The sequence below is a fragment of the Homo sapiens genome, chromosome 8 (genome assembly GCF_000001405.40).
Source record: "Homo sapiens chromosome 8, GRCh38.p14 Primary Assembly".
Classification (NCBI taxonomy): domain Eukaryota; kingdom Metazoa; phylum Chordata; class Mammalia; order Primates; family Hominidae; genus Homo; species Homo sapiens.
Window position 1 is genome coordinate 54,042,591 of NC_000008.11, and position 18,605 is coordinate 54,061,195.

General features: G+C 40.1%; 2 protein-coding genes and 1 long non-coding RNA gene across 17 annotated transcripts in view, besides 1 other annotated feature; 1 reads left to right on the forward strand and 2 right to left on the reverse strand.

The window, feature by feature from the left end:
• Positions 1–8,186, forward strand: part of LOC133039971 (Uncharacterized) — a 28,744-nt gene extending 20,558 nt beyond the window's left edge. For 2 of the 4 annotated variants that reach the window (NR_189618.1, NR_189619.1), the window contains exons 4-5: positions 1,779–1,959; positions 6,835–8,186. This is a non-coding gene — a long non-coding RNA (Uncharacterized LOC133039971). Of the gene's footprint in view, positions 1–1,778; positions 1,960–6,663 lie in introns of all 4 variants that reach the window. The other 2 variants (NR_189617.1, NR_189620.1) reach the window with 2 other exon arrangements.
• LYPLA1-TCEA1 (LYPLA1-TCEA1 readthrough) overlaps positions 1–18,605 on the reverse strand; it is a 135,392-nt gene that overhangs the window by 76,035 nt on the left and 40,752 nt on the right. For 2 of the 4 annotated variants that reach the window (NM_001425839.1, NM_001425840.1), the window contains exons 6-8: positions 12,470–12,543; positions 10,065–10,166; positions 8,422–8,598 (exon numbers count right to left, since the gene is read on the reverse strand). The exons of 1 other annotated variant lie outside the window; for it this stretch is intronic. In NM_001425839.1, coding sequence (NP_001412768.1) covers positions 8,422–8,598; positions 10,065–10,166; positions 12,470–12,543 — 353 coding nt within the window. Of the gene's footprint in view, positions 1–2,226; positions 2,364–2,966; positions 3,077–4,700; positions 4,779–5,423; positions 5,529–8,421; positions 8,599–10,064; positions 10,167–12,469; positions 12,544–18,605 lie in introns of all 4 variants that reach the window. One more of the 4 variants, NM_001425842.1, reaches the window with a different exon arrangement.
• The window catches only part of LYPLA1 (lysophospholipase 1), a 58,961-nt gene continuing 40,752 nt past the window's right edge, over positions 397–18,605 (reverse strand). For 4 of the 9 annotated variants that reach the window (NM_001279359.2, NM_001279357.2, NM_006330.4 and 1 more), the window contains 4 exons: positions 12,470–12,543; positions 10,065–10,166; positions 8,422–8,598; positions 3,777–5,528 (listed from right to left, as the gene is read on the reverse strand). In NM_001279359.2, coding sequence (NP_001266288.1) covers positions 5,475–5,528; positions 8,422–8,598; positions 10,065–10,166; positions 12,470–12,543 — 407 coding nt within the window. In that variant the 3' untranslated portion in view covers positions 3,777–5,474. Of the gene's footprint in view, positions 629–2,226; positions 2,364–2,966; positions 3,077–3,776; positions 5,529–8,421; positions 8,599–10,064; positions 10,167–12,469; positions 12,544–18,605 lie in introns of those variants that run through there. The other 5 variants (NR_189622.1, NR_189621.1, NM_001425837.1 and 2 more) reach the window with 5 other exon arrangements.
• Positions 3,130–3,323: a silencer, noted in NCBI's record as "fragment chr8:54958280-54958473 (GRCh37/hg19 assembly coordinates)". NCBI's record gives its function as "represses an EF-1alpha promoter that drives an FKBP-Casp9 reporter gene in an ReSE screen in K562 erythroleukemia cells {active_cell/tissue: K562}" and the evidence as "EXISTENCE:reporter gene assay evidence [ECO:0000049][PMID:32094911]".

Here is an 18,605-nt window from a genome sequence, read left to right on the forward strand (position 1 = left end):
TGGTGGTGATGGTTGCATAATGTGAATGTACTTAATGCTACTGAAGCATACAGGTAAAAGTAGTTAAGATGGTAAATTTTGTTATGTATTCAGATTTTTAAATCTGTGTTAGAATAAACAATGTATCCCAAAGGCAGGATTCCTCTCTCCCACTCCTATCCTTATTCACTTCATTCCTTCCCTATTCACGCTCCATAGATATTAACTACTTTTATTACACTCTTCAAATGTCCTTTCAGTGTTTTTTTAAATGCAAATTCTAGCCAAGTCAAGTATATGGTCTTATTTCCTCCACCCCTTTCAGTTTTTTACATTTTTTTCATCCGATAACATAACCTAAATCCTTTCCTAACGAATTCAGTGCACCTTATTTTTTAATAGCTGCCTAACATTCCATTGAGTAAATGTTCATGGTTTATTTAGCTGGTCCACTTTCATTCAACATTTGGGTTGTATCAAACATTGTGCTGTCACAAATAACACTTGTCCAGAGATGAGGTCTCACTCTGTTGCCCAGGCTGGAGTGCAGTGGTGTGGTAATAGTTCAATGCAGCCTCGCACTCGGCTCAAGGGATCCTTCCAGCTCGACCTCTGGAATAGCTGGGATTACTGGCAAGCGCCATCACTCCTAGATGAAAATTTTCATTTGAAAAGGCTGTTTTTCATTTTTTGAACCTTTTTTCAAATCTGCATTTTTTATTTTTGAGACGGAGTCTCGCTCCGTTGCCCAGGCTGGAGTCAGTGGTGTGATCTCGGCTCACTGCAACCCCCGCCTCCCGGATTCAAATGATTCTCCTGCCTCAGCCTCCTGAGTAGCTGGGACTACAGGCGTGCACCACCACACCTGGCTAATTTTTGTATTTTTAGTAGAGACGGGGTTTCACCATACTGGCCAGGCTGGTCTTGAACTCCTGATCTCATGATCCACCTGCCTCAGCCTCCCAAAGTGCTGGGGAAACAGGCATGAACCACCGCACCTGACCCTATTTATTTTTTAGGCAAAGTTTACTTTTGTTGCCCAGGCTGTAGTGCAATGGTGCAAAATCGGTTCACTACAGCCTCCTGGGTTCAAGCAATTCACCTGCCTCAGCCTCCCAAGTAGCTGGGATTACAGGCATGTGCTATCACTCCCGGCTAATTTCATATTTTTGGTAGAGACGGGGTTTCACCACCTTGGTTAGGCTGGTCTCGAACTCCTGACCTCAAGGGATCCACCCTCCTTGGCCTCTCAAAGTGCTGGGATTGCAGGTGTGAGCCACCACACCCGGCCTCAAATCTGCATTTTATACTGTTACTCTTTTTCACTTATTCTTCCGCTTTTTTGAGACAGTCTTGCTGTCACCCAGGCTGGAGTGCAGTGGCATGATCTTGGCTCACTGCAACCTCCACCTCCCAGGTTCAAGTGATTGTCTTGCCTCAGCATCCCAAGTAGCTGGGATTACAGGTGCACGCCACCATGCCCAGCTAATTTTTGCATTTTTAGTAGAGATGGGGTTTTACCATGTTGACCAGGCTGGTCTCTTAACTCCTACCTTCAACTGATCCACTCGCCTCAGCCTCCCAAAGTGCCGGTATTACAGGTGTGAGGGAGCCACCGTGCCCAGCCTTCCTTTTATCTTTCGGGTCACCTGGTATTCAGCTGTAGGTAAATCATTCCCTCTTATGATTTGAAATGTGGGGGCTCTGAGCTCATTTTTGACAAGGTTAAATTTATGCAACCTCAGAATTTAAATTCTGAGGCTGTCAGTCTTCATAAAGTATTTGTTTGCTTCTTCCAGGTGCCTGAGAGTAAAGCCAGTCCAGGGAGATTCTTGACGTTAATATTTAACTTCGTGTGTTGACAGACCACATAAATGGTATATACCTTGAAAATCAAAATGCACATGAACACAAACTCCTGGTGAAAAAGTTTTGAGGGATGATTTCATCTCTCCCAGTCCACAGCCCAGACCAAAACAGGCAAGTTTCCCTCCACTTCCCTATGCTGGGGGGTGACGGGGTGGAAGGGGCCAGATTTTTTTTTTTCTAGTTCACCTATGTGCACTGCCCTTAAAAGGGTCCTGGCTTGGCTGGGCATGGTGGCTGTTTGTAATCCCAGCACTTTGGGAAGCTGCGGTGAGATCACTTGAGCCAAGGAGTTCGAGACCATCCTGGGCAACATAGCAAGACCCCATCTCTACAAAAACATTTTAAAATAAAAAAAATAAGGGTGAATTACTTACATACCTTATCTCATCTTAAGCCCCAAAGTTAACTGTGTCATGCGGGTTTTTAGTTTCCTTTTAGTTCTCTCTGGCCACTGGAGATTGTACTTTATGGTGAGCTGATTTGTATCATAGTTCTACTCAGCATTTCCATGTGTCCTGTATTATATGAAATACACATCATTTGTGTGTTTCAAAGCATTTAAATTACCCCACTGGGGCACAGAGCAAGGTTATAAAGACCATGAAGTTAGGCACATGAATTTGAATCCTGGCTCTTGCACATTAATAGCTCTGGAATCCTAAGTAAATAGTTTCCTTCTCTAGAGTTTCCTCTTCTGTAAAATCAAGATGGTTGATCAGAGGACTATATGCTTAAAGGATATAAAATGCTTAGTATAGTGCCCAGCATATATTAAATAATTACATTTTCATTTTTTAGGAATTTCTACAAAATAAAATGGTACTTGTTAAGAGGATTTAAAACTATTTATACTTTCAAAATGCAGCAGTAAGAGTGGCTGCAACAGTAGGCAAATTACCCAACTATTTACATATAGATACAACTATTGTTACCCATTGGTAATTAGATCATAACAGTCAGTACCAAGCTCTGACCACATTTAGTAGTTAACAAAATTATTTTTAAAAGGATCATGAACTAAAGATTATCATATGAAATACAGTGCTGATGTGAAAGATAAACATTTTATAAAACGAACTGAAGTTAGAGACAACATATTTGGTCCAGAATTTTCTTACCACGAGAACTATCCAAAAATTGAACAAGCTGCATCACAAAAAAGTGAGGTGGTCACTTAAGTATCCAAAAGCAGAAAGCGAAGGACTGCTTAACAGGACAGAAGGAATTCCTATATTCGGAAAAGTCAGAAGTCAATGTTGAAATAAAGGAGAAAAACTACTTGGATAACTGACTTATGACACTAATTTAAAAAACCCAGTGAATACTACATTAAAGAAAAAGACCGGGCACAGTGGCTCACGCCTATAATCCCAGCACTTTGGGAGGCTGAAGCGAGTGGATCACCTGAGGTCAGGAGTTGGAGACCAGCTTGGCCAACGTGGCAAAACCCTGTCTCTACTAAAAATACAAAAATTAGCTGGGCATGGTGGTGGGCTCCTGTAATCCCAGCTACTTAGGAGGCTGAGGCAGGAGAATCACTTGAACCTGGGAGGCAGAGGTTGCAGTGAGCCGAGATCGCACCACTGCACCCCAGCCTGGGTGACAGAATGGGACTCTGTCTCAAAAATAAAATAAAATAAAATAAAATTTAAAAAGAGTTAAGAAAAAGACAAAAGATAAACACCAAATAAAACTTCTTAAATAGGTAGAAACATTGAAAACCAAATTTGGGAAATTTTTTTTTAGCCAATTAAAACTGAATAACATGAGATTATTTCTTATGCCTGGTTCCATTCTAAGTCAACCACACCATCATCAAAATTTCTCTCTCTGAATATATATTCTTTTAAGTACATTGTTATTTTCCTCCATTGCATTATAGACATTCATTCCAAATGTTAACATTCCAAATATTAAAATACTCAAAGTCACAGAAAAGTCAGAATTAAATTTTATTTCACATTGATAGAAACCATGAAAAACATTTACACTTTCCCATGTTACAGCACAATATTTCAATGGAATATTTCTTGCCATAAATAATATCTTGCTGATTTGTAGAAGTGAAATAACAGTTTATGTTCTTCAAGGTAAAGAAAAATGACATAGTAAATGATTGTTTAAAATTTTTAAATCCAGACATAAACATATGGCTTCATTATTAACATCCTGTATAGTCCATTACTAAATTATTTCCATTATCAATTAGCACCCATTTATAAAGATGCATTCTTAATATTGTTTTGGTCAGCTGGAATACAGCAGAAAAATTAACACAGTTGAGAAATATCAAGCATACATTTTTGCTACATATTAATCTGTATGGTAACTACACTTTATGGTATAGGGTTCTGACTAGCCTTTATTACCCATAAGTTTGTTTTCAAATAATTTTTACCAGTAATCTGGAAATTTTGACAATTTAAAATGATTGCTATTTTTATGTCTGCATCAAAAACTAATACAAAAAATAATTTGACTAAAGTGAAAATTTCAAATAAGTCCACTGGCAGATGAAAATAAAGCAAAAAATTACAATAGATTCCTCATCTTCTACAGTAGTTGGTTTCAAACGTGTACAAAGTAAACTCTATACTATGAGAAGATGAAATCATCTTAGAAGTTAGTTTTTAAGATCAGTCTTAAAGATATTTCAGAACATACTAGAATATGATCTAATTATTCTTTCAGTTGTTTACAGAAAAATGAAACCACAGAATTATTCCTGTTACCTGGGTTGAAGATCCTAATAGCTAGGTGTAAATTTGGATAAGGTACAGTAATTCGAAATAAGTAGTGCATGAAGTTTTAATGTCTGGTTTCTCTATAAAGCATAAATAGATTTTAAATACCTTATATCTGTGACCCAGAATGTCAAATTACAGCATGTATTGACAGTAGCTGTCTATTGCAGAGAGGCAATACTTGGCCTGCTATGAAGGACAATAAAGAAAAAACAAACTTTTTTTTTTTTCTTGAGAGAAAAGAGTATTAAATAGAAATAATATCAGGGAAAATAAAAGCCTGGTCCCAAAATAAAAGGGCCATTAATTGAAGAGAACGATTTTACTTTTTCTTGACAATAAACAGCATTATCCCTATTATTAGGAATAATGTAATACCACCTCATTCTTATTATGTATTATAATCATTATGTATATATGAACACATATATAAAAATACAGACACTGCATGGTGACTAAGCAATTTTGGAATAAATCCATAGACTAAGTCACAGCATGCATAAATTGTTTATATCTTAACTGCTCATTTATACCTGAACAAATTTTCATTAAGCATACTGCTAATTTTCAAATGATGTAATAAAAAATCTGGTGGCAGTACTGTATTATTTTGCTGAATTACATTTGAGAAAAAAGAAGCTACCTGCTTCATCTATTCTAATATAGTAGATCCTGGGTCGTCTTATAAGAATACATGTATAGAAACTTAAAAGATCATAAATTTCTCATGAGGAGATATTATTTGATCTGTGTTATTGGCATGTATTTGCAAAACATTTTAACACTGCAAAACATTAGAAATTTGAAGACTGGGCATGGGAAAAGGTTTACACTCTACTACAATGATGCTGGTGTACTTCTACACAAGGCCTCTTAGTGACGTCAATCAATTGGAGGTAGGAGTTTATCAATGAATTGCTTGACATCCATCATTTCCTGTTTGGAATAAAGTAATTTAATAGGTAGGTAGTTATGTAAGTCAGAAATTAAATTCCCACTAAAATGCCACTAATCAAATCTATGGTATGCATAAAGGCGAAATCACATTTTTACTACAATTAAATAAGACAAAAGAGAAATGAGGCTCCAACAGAAATTTCAGGACATTTCCTATCATGATTATTGTACACTGAAATGACAGCTCCCATCCAGTATCTAGTTCTGCATCTTCCTATACTGGAACAATATAAGACACTGGGGGGCAGGGAAGTTTAGAAGCGATGGTGCCTACACTGAGAAGTCTCAGTAAGTGAACAATTACTGACAACTAAGTATGAGTGACAAAGCAGAGCTTCTACCATTCTTCAAACTGAATTATGCGCTAAATCCATAGCATTAACTATGCTGTGTCTTTCATAAAGAATTACATACAACTAACCATTTGATAGAGAGCATGTACCTAAGATGTTCCTGGGAAGATATGAACATTAATATACCAAAGATTTATCATAGAAGAAACTTTCTCCTCTTAGCCTCTTGCATTTGGCTCAGTTTTCTCACCTCCCTCAAACTCACTTCCTGCTATCAGCTCTTATATTTCAAGGCCTTACTTAGCCTCACAGTGCCAAATAGTAGCAATGCAGCTAACCTTCAGCCTTGTAATTTAGTCACTCAGAAAAGAGCCCCAGCATGAAAGTGTTCTATTTCACAATACTCTGAAGTCCCAAAGAGTTTCCTGTGAGATCACCTCCCACTATCCTACTTCTCCTCATTTTCTGCTCCTCCTCATTCAGCCCAGAGTTGTTGTAGACTCATCTATAGAGCTTTTATGAAGCTCCAAGGTATTTGTGATACAAAGCCCATGAAGAAAACAGCTGCTCTAGAGACCTTCAGTCCCTCTTGCACACATTAAGGGTTCCAGGACTTCCCCTGCCCTCTCTTTTCTGGATTCAACACTGTAATACTCTATATCAGTAGGAGAACACCCTAGGTTCAGGTTCCCAGGCACCCTTGTCTTTCTGGATAAATCATATTACCACCTCTTTCTCCGTCCCTAAATTATTTAACCCAGGCTGAGTGGTTGTAAAACTGTCAGTATGACTATCTCACTAGGAATCAATTTTTACTCTAGGTCTTCTCAAGCCTCCAGACCTATCCAGGCCTCCGGCCTCCTTCATTCTATCAAGTGATCGCACCTTCTACTTGACTGAAAAGATAAGCACATCTAATATGAGCTCCCAAGCACTCTCTTCTCTCTCCATCTCCTGTTTATATTCATCCATCCTTTCTTTCTTTTTTTTAGGGTCTCACTCTGTCACTCAGGCTGGAGTGCAGGGTGCCAACATGGCTCACTGCAGCAGCAACCTCCGGAGATCAAGTGATCCTCTCGCCTCAGCCTCTAGAGTAATTGGAACCACAGGTGCCCGCCACCTCACCCGGCCTGTCCTCTTCTATCTTGATTGAAAATGGTTTTCTCCTCTTTTAAGGCAAGCACTATACATCTCAGGACTTAATTCTATTCTATGATCCCTCTGAGAATGCCTCTATCAATTATCTTCTCTTTACTGCATCTTCTTCCTCCCTCCTTCCACTCATAGGTCTTTCTCTGATCCCACTGAAGAACAGATTTCCTACTCTTCTTCCTGTTTACCAAAACTTTTTTAAAAGGTCTATACATGTTGCCTCTGCTTCCTCATTTCCCTATCCACTTCATACAATCCTTTGCATTTTGGCTTTATCTACCCAAACATCCAAGGTCACAGGTGGCTTAATATTGGGTACTTTCTTCCTAAACTATTTCTCCTTAATCCTTCTCTGGAACACATTACACATCTCCTTCCCACTCTGAAATTCTCTCCACCCATACTCTCAACACCTAACTCCTTTTCTCATTAGGCTAAACTGTAATGTGTCCCCCAAAGTTCTATCCCTGAGCTTTTTTTCTTATAATGCTTTCTCAAGATAATTCTTCGTTGATCAATTATATTAGTAATTATTTCAAATCTCCATTTCCAGGCTTGAACTTCAGACAAGTATTTCCAATATCCTATTTTGATATTGTGGGGGCACATTGATCTCAATACATTAAACTCAGTATTATCTCCTTCCTTTACTCTAAAACTGTTTCTTGCACCTACTTTTTATGATGGCATCAGAACTAGAAATCTCAGGCCCTTTTGATACTTCCTTGGTTACTACACCCCACATAATTAATCTCTAAATCCTGCTGGATCACCTGTCTCTAGAATGTAGATCAGATCACATCTCACTTCAACCAAAAACACTGACAGCTTCCTGCTGCCTAGAGAGTAAGTCTAGTAAGTCCCTTCTCAGCACAAAGAGTCTCTGTTCCCTATGTCTTCTGTCCTATCATGCCCAGCTTTTCCTAAGACTGAATGGCTTGCTTTTCCTGTCCTATAGTTCTTTCTCTGCACATTTGCTATCCAAATCCCACCGTTTTTCAAAATCTAGCTGTTTCATCATGGTCTCAGTGCCTCCTAAGATAAAATTAATCTCTTCTCAGTTTTTCAGGGCACCTTTTGTTATTTTCCAAGGGCACTTTTTAAAGCTTCTAATACAATGTATATCACATTCTGCTATCCATACAGTTACTTAGACATGCATCTTTCTATTAAATTTTATCTTAAATTTTAATGAAAGGGAATGTTTATTATTCATCTTTGAATTATGTACAATGCTGTGTATAATAGCCAATCAGTAAATATTTGTTGAATTAAGTTGAATACACACTCATCTAATGACTGCTAACTTATGACTCAATATGAATTAACTCATTTAAATCCCCAAGCATTCAAATGTTACTTTTCTTGAAAATATCACATGAAAAAAGTTACAAATATGGCGCTGATCACTGCTTCTAGACACCTACCTGTTGACACGAACTGTGCATCATACCTTCATAGGTTTTAAAGGTCACATTGGCTGGATTCACCAATGTTTTTAGTTTTTCCACCGTAAGAGAACCAAACATCAGGGGAACCAAAGGGTCACAATCCCCGTGGCACTGGAGAATAGAAATATCTCTATTAGCACCACCGATAGGACCCTGCAAAAAGCAAAAGAAGAAATAGTTTTATTTTTGTAAAAGTATAGGACACTATGCCAGGCATTTAAAATTGTACATAAATATGCATATATATAACATATTAGAAGTTACATTTGGCCAAAAAAATAAAATTCCTTCATCCATATACTCACCACATCCCTTTGACTTCTATAGGATGTATGATCACCTTGCCTCATATTATAATATATATCTTCCCAGTGAATGAGTTCCTTGAAGCAGATTATATATACATTTTTTTGTTTCGTTTAGTTTTTTTGAGACGGAGTCTTGCTCTGTTGCCCAGGCTGGAGTGCAGTGGCGTGATCTCAGCTCACTGCAACCTCTGCCTCCCAGGTTCAAGCAATTCTCCTGCCTCAGCCTCCCAAGTAGCTGGGATTACAGGCACGTGCCACCACGCCCAGCTAATTTTTTTGTATTTTTTAGTAGAGACAGGGTTTCACTGTGTTACCCAGGATGGTCTCAATCTCCTGACCTTGTGATCCACCTGCCTTGGCCTCCGAAAGTGCTGGGATTACAGGCGTGAGCCACTGCACCCAGCCAAGCAGATTATATTTTAATCCATCTTTATATTTTCAGCTTTTTTTTGTTTGTTTGGTTGGTTGTTTTAGTATTTTGAGTTGCTGTTTTATTCAGCTATCTTTTTTTTTTTTTTTCCCCCAAAGACAGAGTCTTGCTCTGTTACCCAGGCTGGAGTGAAGTGGCACAATCGTGGCTCACTGCAACTTCCACCTCCTGGGTTCAAGTGATTCTCATGCCTCAGCCTCCTGAGTAGCTGGGATTATAGGTGTGCACCACGACGCCCAGCTAATTTCTGTATTTTTAGTAGCCATGGGGTTTCACCATGTTGGCCAGGCTGGTCTTGAACTCCTGACCTGAGGTAATCCACCCGCCTCAGCCTCCCAAAGTGCTGGGATTACAGGCATGAGCCACCGCACCTGGTCTAAAAATAAGTATGATTTCTATATGTTAAAAAAAGTCCTAATTTTCATATATATCCTAAAATGTATCAAATCCTTCTAATATAAGATTTGTGACAATAAGGTTTCTTTCTAATTCCATTCTATGTACTCCACAATACAGACAGTATAGCGTACAGAAATAAGGCCTAGTAATACATCACAAAAGTCTAAGAAAATTATTTTTAAAAAAGGATGAGTGCTGTAAGTGGAGGACTTGGTGATGGTGATGTGTCAGTGCAGCATTACTGACTGCAGCAAAAACATGGCTGTGGAGGTGGGGATGCTGATGGTGGGGAGGCTGTGCATGTGTGGGGACAGGAGGTAGATAGTAACTCTGTACCTTCTGCTCAGTTTTGCTGTGAATTTAGAACTTCTCCAAAAAATAAAGTTTATTAATAAAAAAAAATAAGATGACTTTATCTCCAACAATATCTACTAGCTACCTTTAGCTCAGTAATCTCATGTTGAGTGCATCAACCAAGTTACCTGTGGAAAGGAAGCCCGAAGTGGAAGCCAGCAACTGAGTGCAGTGACACCTGCCAGTTTCTGCTGTGTGGTAAGGGCAGTATATAAAGATAAAGCTCCTCCCTGAAAAGACAAGCAGGGAAAGTCAATGGAACACACATGCTTGCCCACAGCAATTTAGGGAATATCTTGTTACTAATGATATCCATAAAAAAATCAAACTTGGTGGCTGGTGTCAAATCAAATCAGGCAAATATCGGAAATACAAACACACCCCACCGTGTCCTAAAGGATGCGGTTCTCTACACCAGAGAACATACAGACTTCCTTTCCGACGAGACATAGTTTGTACCATGGGAAACTGCTGCACTTACAACATGCCTTACGAATATTCTGAATTTATATTTTCTCCTTTGCAGAATTTTAGGCATAAAATCCAATCTGCTCTTAAATTGGTATTACTTTTTTTTTTTTTTTTGAGATGGAGTTTCACTCTTGTTGCCCAGGCTGGAGAGTAATGGTGCAATCTTGGCTCACCACAACCTCCGCCTCCTGAGTTCAAGCGATTCTCCTGCCTCAGCCTCCCGAGTAGCTGGGATTACAGGCATGCACCACCACACCCGGCTAATTTTGTATTTTTGGTAGAGACGGGGTTTCTCCATGTTGGTTAGGCTGGTCTCAAACTCCCGACCTCAGGTGATCCACGCGCCTCAGCCTCCCAAAGTGTTGGGATTACAGGTGTGAGCCACCGTGCCTGGCCCTTAAATTGGTATTACTTTCTAAATGAGAATTTAAGATAATAATAACTATTTAGCAGACACCTTCAGAGTATCTGCCTACCCAGCTCACAACATCCCACATTCTGGAAGCTGTACTCCTGCCAGCATCCAGAAGCCCCATCACTCTGACCATGCCCATGGGTTACTGCAACACATGAGTACACGAGAGCCTTTCACATCCCAGGCAGTGATGTTTTCTCCTGGCACTGTGGAAATGGGATTCGATGACCACCAGTCACTCTCTGTGTGGCTACACCTGTAACATGTAAATTCAAGAGCTGGAAAAGCTATAGGCTGCAAAAGCCAAGATGGCCAATTGTTTATGGAAAGGTAAATGAAACAGACAAGCAAAGAAACAAGAGATGAGAGATGGTGAGCAAGGCCCAACTGCTTTTCAATTTCTAGCTACTTCCTGAGGCCTTGCCTCATTTTCCTCCTCAGTTTCCTTGATAGGATGCCACAGACTCATTGCTTACTCCTTGCTTGAGGTATTGAGTTGGTTTCTATATACTGTAATGAATGAATATCAAATATACAGACTCCCACATGAACTTGTTATTCTGGATCATTATTATTATTATTTTTGAGACAGAGTCTCAGCTCTGTTGCCCAGGCTGGAGTATAGTGGTGCGATCTTGGCTCACTGCAACCTCTGGCTCCTGGGTTCAAGTGATTTTCCTGCTTCAGCCTCCGGAGTAGCTGGAGTTACAGAGGCGTGCACCACTATGCCCGGCTAATTTTTGTATTTTTAGTAGAGACAGGGTTTCACCATGTTGGCTGGGCTGGTCTCGAACTCCTGACCTCAAGTGATCCACCCACCTTGGCCTCCCAAAGTGCTGGGATTACAGGCGTGAGCCACCGTGCCTGGCCTGGATCATTAATTTCTGTCCCTATGTTTATGTCACAATGTGTATTACAATATACATTATCTGTGAATTTCAACAAACACCAAATCAGTAACACCTTTTCACTATATTGTATCAACAAATCTTTCTACTGAATTCTATCTTCTAAATAATTTCAGAATTCTGACATCTCCCTAATTAAGGTAATCCAAACATCTCCCTAATTAAGGTAATCCAAACACTAAGTTGCTAACTTAGAAGATTTACAGATGATAAGTTAGAGCATCTGGGGACTGGTTCCATGGCAAACAGCTTATATGCCGCAGTAGCCATGAAAGAAAGGTCCGTATGAGGAAGCTACGTCTGTGGAGGGAGTACAGAAAGCAGGGGAAAAAGTACAGAGACAAAGAAAAATGCCAAAAATAAACACCACATATTCATACCTAAAACCTGTAATACGTGAAGGTAAAGGGAAGAAATTCTCTTGTCTTCCACTTTACTGTTCCTATCAGTAGTCTCCTCCTATAGAGGGGACTCATGCCTGTGTTATCAGTTTTAATTAATTAAAAGGATAAACTGTGTTAACTTAGAAATTTAATTACATGTGTACATGTGTATTATAGTTCTTTCAAGAAGAAATTAATTAGTTCCAGTACACTGAAACTTAATTAAACATCAAAGGTAAGTGTATCAGTCAAGATTCTATAACATCAAAAAAGACTACTCTATAGAAAGGATTAATGCACAGACTTCTAAATAAGTATACTGATGGTACTGACATTCCACTCAAATTTTATCTTACCTGAGAAAACCCTCCCAAAATAATTCTGTTAGAAGGAATGCCATTCTTCACTTCTTGATCAATCAAAGCTTTTACTAAAAACAACATGAAAGTTAGTCAGCAATACTTTCAGAGTTAAGCCCACTGATAAAATTTAAATTAGGAAAAAATTAGTAATAGAAAAGCGCAATTACTTTTAAGGTGGAAATGAGTGAAAAATTCAAAGCACTTCATTAAAATACAAAATTAGAATGTATTTTCATATGCCAACGGAGAACAACGTGAAAAGGAAATTTTAAAAAAATCAAATTTCCGATAGTCACACATAAAATTAAATACCTAGGAATTAAACAAAGAAGTGAACGGTCTCTATAATGAAAACTATAAAACACTGATGAAAGAGGACACCAAAAAATGGAAAAAAGATTCCATGGTCATGGATAAGAAGAACCAATAACAATATTGATTGTTATTGTTCATGAATTCTTCTAATCCATGACCATGGAATATTTTTCCCAAATCACCCAAAGCAATCTACAGATTCAATGCAATCTCTATGAAAATACCAATGACAATCTTCACAGAAATAGAAAAACAATCCTAATTATTTTTTTTTTTTTTTTGAGACAAAGTCTCGCTCTGTCACCCAGGCTGGAGTGCAGTGGCGTGATCTTGGCTCACTGCAAGCTCCGCCTACTGGATTCATGCCATTCTCCTGCCTCAGCCTCCCAAGTAGCTGGGACTACGGGTGCCCACCACCATGCCCGGCTAATTTTTTGTATTTTTAGTAGAGACGAGGTTTCACCGTGTTAGCCAGGATGGTCGATCTCCTGAACTCGAGATCCGCCCGCCTCGGCCTCCCAAAGTACTAGGATTACAGGCGTGAGCCACCGTGCCTAGCCCCCTAAAATTTATATGGAATCACGAAAGACTCAGAGTAGCCAAAGCTACCCTAAGCAAAAAGAATAAAACTAGAGGAATCACATTACTTTACTTCAAATTATACTACAGAGCTATAGTAACCAAAACTGCATGGTACTGGCATAAAAACAGACACACAGACTAAAGGAACAGAATAGAGAACCCAGAAACAAATCTATACACACACACCTACAGTGAATTCATTTTTGACAAAGGTGTCAAGAACATACACTGGGGAAAAGACAGTCTCTTCAATAAAAATGGTCCTGGGAAAACTGGATATCCATATGCAGAAGAATAAAATTAGACCCTATCTCTTGCTGTATACAAAAATCAAATCACAATAAACACTTAAATCTAAGATCTCAAACTATGAAACTACTACGAGAAAAAATTGGGGAAAATCTCCAGGACATTGGTCTGGGCAAAAATTTCTTGAGAAATACCCCACAAGCATATCAACCAAAGCAAAAATGGACAAATGGGATCACATCAAGTTAAAAAGCTTCTGCACAGCAAAGGATACAATCAACAAAGTGAGGAGACAACCCACAGAATGGGAGAAAATATTTGGAAACTACCCATCTGAGAAGGGATTAATAACCAGAATATATAAGGAGCTTTAACAACTCTATAGGAAAAAAATCTAATAATCTGATCAAAAAATGGGCCAGGCCGGGCACAGTGGCTCATGCCTGCAATCCCAGCACTTTGGGAGACCGAGGAGGGTGGGTTACGAGGTCAAGTGATCAAGACCATCCTGCCCAACGTGGTGAAACCCCGTATCTACTACAGATTAAAAAATTAGCTGGGCATGGTGGTGCGCACCTGTAGTCGCAGCTACTTGGGAGGCTGAGGCAGGAGAATCACTTGAACTCGGGAGACGGAGGTTGCAGTGAGCCAAGATTGCACCACTGCACCCCAGCCTGGCGAAAGAGCAAGACTCTGTCTCAAAACAAACAAGAACAAAAAAAACGGGCCAAAGATCTGAATAGACATTTCCGAAAAGATGACATAAAAATGGCAAACAGGCATATGAAAAGGTGCCCAACATCACTGATCGCCAGCAAAATGCAAATCAAAACTACAATGAAATATCGTCTCACCCCAGTTAAAATGGTTTTTATTCAAAAGACAGTTAATAGCAAATGCTGGCAAGGATGTGGAGAAAAGAGAACCCTCATACACTGTTGGTGGGAATGTAAATTAGTACAACTACTATGGGGAACAGTTTGGAGGTTCCTCAAATAACTAAAAATTGAGCTACCATATGAACCAGCAATCCCACTGGATATATACTCAAAAGAAAGTATCTTTCTTTTAACTATATTTGGGTATATATCTTTTGGGATATATACCCAAAAGAAAGGAAATCAGTATATTGAAGAGATATCTGTACTCCCATGTTTGTTGTAGCACTGTTCCCAATAGCCAAGATTTGGAAGTAACCTATGTGTCCATCAACAGATGACTGGATGAAGAAAATGTGGTACATATGCACAATGAAGTACTATTCAGCCATAAAAAAAGAATGAGATCCAGTCATTTGCAACAACACAAGTGGAACTGGAGATCATTATGTTAAGGGAAATAAGCCAGACACAGAAAGACAAACATTGCATGTTCTCACTTTTTTGTGGGATCTAAAACTAACTGAACTAACAGACACAGACAGTAGTAGAAGTATGGTTATCAGAGGCTGGAAGGGTAGAAGGGGGCTGGAGGTGAGGTGTAGCTAGTTAATGGGTACAAAAAAAATAGAATAAGACCTACCATTTGACAGTACAATAGGGTGACTATAGTCAATAGTAACTTAGTGTACATTTTAAAATAACTTACAAGAGTGTAAATGGATTCTTTGTAACTCAAAGGATAAACGCTTGAGGGGATGGACACCCCATTCTCCATGATGTGCTTATTTCACATTGCATCCCTGTATCAAAACATCTCACGTACATATAAATATGTACACCTATGTACTCACAAAAATTGAAAATAAAAAAATAAAATTTTAATTAAAACTTCAATAATTTCCCATTAAATATTTTGTTAACAACAGTTCTTTCTCTCATCAAGAGATGGATTTTTAAAAAATTAATAGTTAATTCTGCTCATATATATTCCATGTTTCTCTCTTCAATGAACCATAGGCATTTGTACCTAAAAGTTGTCATTTTAAAATTGTACGTAGTTAAGTGTTTAAAATTGTACGTAGTTAAGTGTTGTACGTAGTTAAGTTAATGGTTTAAAAAGTGTTTAAAACCATTCATTCTATTGTTTTTTAAAAAAAATCACAGAATTGGCCAGGCACAGTGGCTCACGCCTGTAATCCCAGCACTTTGGAAGGCTGAGGCCAGCAGATCAACTTGAGGCCAGGAGTTTGAGACCAGCCTGGCCAACATGGTGAAACACCGTCTGTACTAAAAATACAAAACGTAGCCGGGCATGGTGGCACAGGCCTGTAGTCCTAGCTACTTGGGAGGCTGAGACAGGAGAATAACTTGAACCCAGGAGGTGGAGGTTGCAGTGAGCTGAGATTGCGCCACTGCACTCCAGCCTGAGCAAGAGAGCAAGACTCCATCTCAAAAACAAACAAAAAAAAACCAGAATAAATCTCTTTTGCTCGCTCACACTCTCTCTCTGTGTCTCTGTCTCTGTCTCTCTCTCTCTCTCTCTCAAAACAGGGTCTCACTCTGTTGCTGACCTCTCAGGCTCAAGCAATCCTCCCACCTCAGACTCTCAAGCAGCTGAGGGGGCCACAGACATGCGCCACCACGCCCAGCTAATTTTGTTTTTTTTTTTGTAGCGACTCTTGCCCAGGCTGGTTTTGAACCCCTGGGCTCAAGTGATCCTCCTGCCTCAGCCTCTCAAAGTGCTAGGATTACAGGTATGAGCAACATCCCTTGGCCTCAATCACCTTTCACCTAAGGGTAAGGGCACTATGTACCCCCAACTATGTAACCTGAGCACTGTCTTCTTTGTTCAGTAGCACATTCTCTTTTGTTTTTTCTTTCCTGGCTGAGTCTGATTCTAATTTTCTCTGAGAGGAATTTTCAGAGAGGAAAGAAGTAACAAGTATTTCATAGGCCAACTCTATTGTTAGGACAGAATCTTTCATTCTGGACCTCATGAGGCCCACGTATCTTCTTCACAGGGCCCAGGCCCTCCCTGTTTTCCATAGCATCTAACACTTACCCTCATACTTTTGTCATCTATTATTTTCAGACAAAATCCCAACTCTAGGATTCTAACTCTAATCTACTTTTTAATGATCCCATAAGTCAGTGTTGTTGGTTTGACATTCCCAAATATCTCACATCTTTTGAATGTATTTTCCCTGTTTTTTTTTTTTTTTTGAGACGGAGTCTCGCTCTGTTGCCCAGGCCGGACTGCGGACTGCAGTGGCGCAATCTCGGCTCACTGCAAGCTCCGCTTCCCGGGTTCACGCCATTCTCCTGCCTCAGCCTCCCGAGTAGCTGGGACTACAGGCGCCCGCCACCGCGCCCGGCTAATTTTTTGTATTTTTAGTAGAGACGGGGTTTCACCTTGTTAGCCAGGATGGTCTCGATCTCCTGACCTCATGATCCACCCGCCTCGGCCTCCCAAAGTGCTGGGATTACAGGCGTGAGCCACCGCGCCCGGCCATTTTCCCTGTTTTAAAGACCTTAAAGAGTTCTTTTAAAACAAAAGGGCTGCGCTCAGTGGCTCATGCCTGTAATCCCAGTACTTTTGGGGAGGATCACCTGAGGGCAAGAGTTTCCCACCAGCCTGGACAACATAATGAGAATTCATCTCTACAAAACAGTTTAAAAATTAGCCAGGCATGGTGGCACATGCCTGTAGTCCCAGCTACTCAGAAGCTGAGGCGGGAGAGTTGCTGGAGACCAGGAATTTGAGGCTGCAGTGAGATATGATCACCAACTGTACTCTAACCTGGGCGACAGTCTCTAAGTAACTATGTAAATAAAAAATTACCAAAAAGCAAAACAATTCACAGCCAGCCTGCCTTGCCATTGCTGCCCACACCCACCTACACCCACCCACACTCAAGAGTCACCAACCAGATTTTCCTGAAGGCAATCCCAGTCCTCACATTATTATACTTGTCAATATTTCAGTACACATATGTAAAAGAAAAGCACATTCCTGTGCACCTGTGCATTTCTTTCTTTCTTTTTTTCCTGAGACGGAGTTTCACTCTTGTTGCCCAGGCTGGAGTGCAACAGTGGGATCTCAGCTCACTGTAGCCTCTGCCTCCCAGGTTCAAACAATTCTCCTGGCTCAGCCTCCCAAGTAGCTGGGATTACGGGCAGGCGCTACCATGCCCGGCTAATTTTGTATTTATAATAGAGACGGGGTTTCTCCATGTTGGTCAGCCTGATCTCGAACTCTCGACCTCAGGCGATCCGCCTGCCTCAGCCTCCCAAAGTGCTGGGATTACAGGTGTGAGCCACCGTGCCCGGCCTCCTGTGCATTTGTTAAAAATAGACACGTCCCAGTAAGTTAGTATTCTGTTTCTCCCTCCGAACAACTAGAATTACCATAATCATAAAGGAGATGGACTCCTAACCAGAGACCAGGCTTTCGAGGTTTTGTAAAGCAGAGCTAATACTTCACAGCGGTGTCAAATGAGGTGCCCTGTAAGAAACACCTAGCTTGTAAACAGTTATGTGCTCAATCAGTGGCACGTGTTATTATTACCGCACTAACATTAACAACTTTTTTCTTCCTTTTTTTTTTTTTTTTTTTTTGAGACACAGTCTCCCTCTGTCACCCAGGCTGGAGTGCAATGGCACAACCTCAGCTCACTGCAACCTCCACCTACTGGGTTCAAGCGATTCTCCTGCCTCAGCCTCCTGAGTAACTGGGATTACAGGTGCCCGCCACCACGCCTGGCTAATTTTTTTGTATTTTTAGTAGAGACGGGGTTTCACCATGTTGGCCAGGCTGGTCTCAAACTCCTGACCTCAGGTGATCTGCCTGCCTCGGCCTCTCAAAGTGCTGGGGTTACAGGCGTGAGCCACCGCACTTGACCACATTTTCACTGTTTCTTATCATTATACTCATTATATCATTATTTTCACTGTTATTCCAAGTCTCTTTAATGAAGATAACTGGCCAAAACTATTTTTTTTTTTGAGACAGAGTTTCATTCTTGTTGCCCAAGCCTGAGTGCAATGGCGCAATCTCGGCTCACTGAAACCTCTGCCTCCTGGGTTCAAGCGATTCTCCTGCC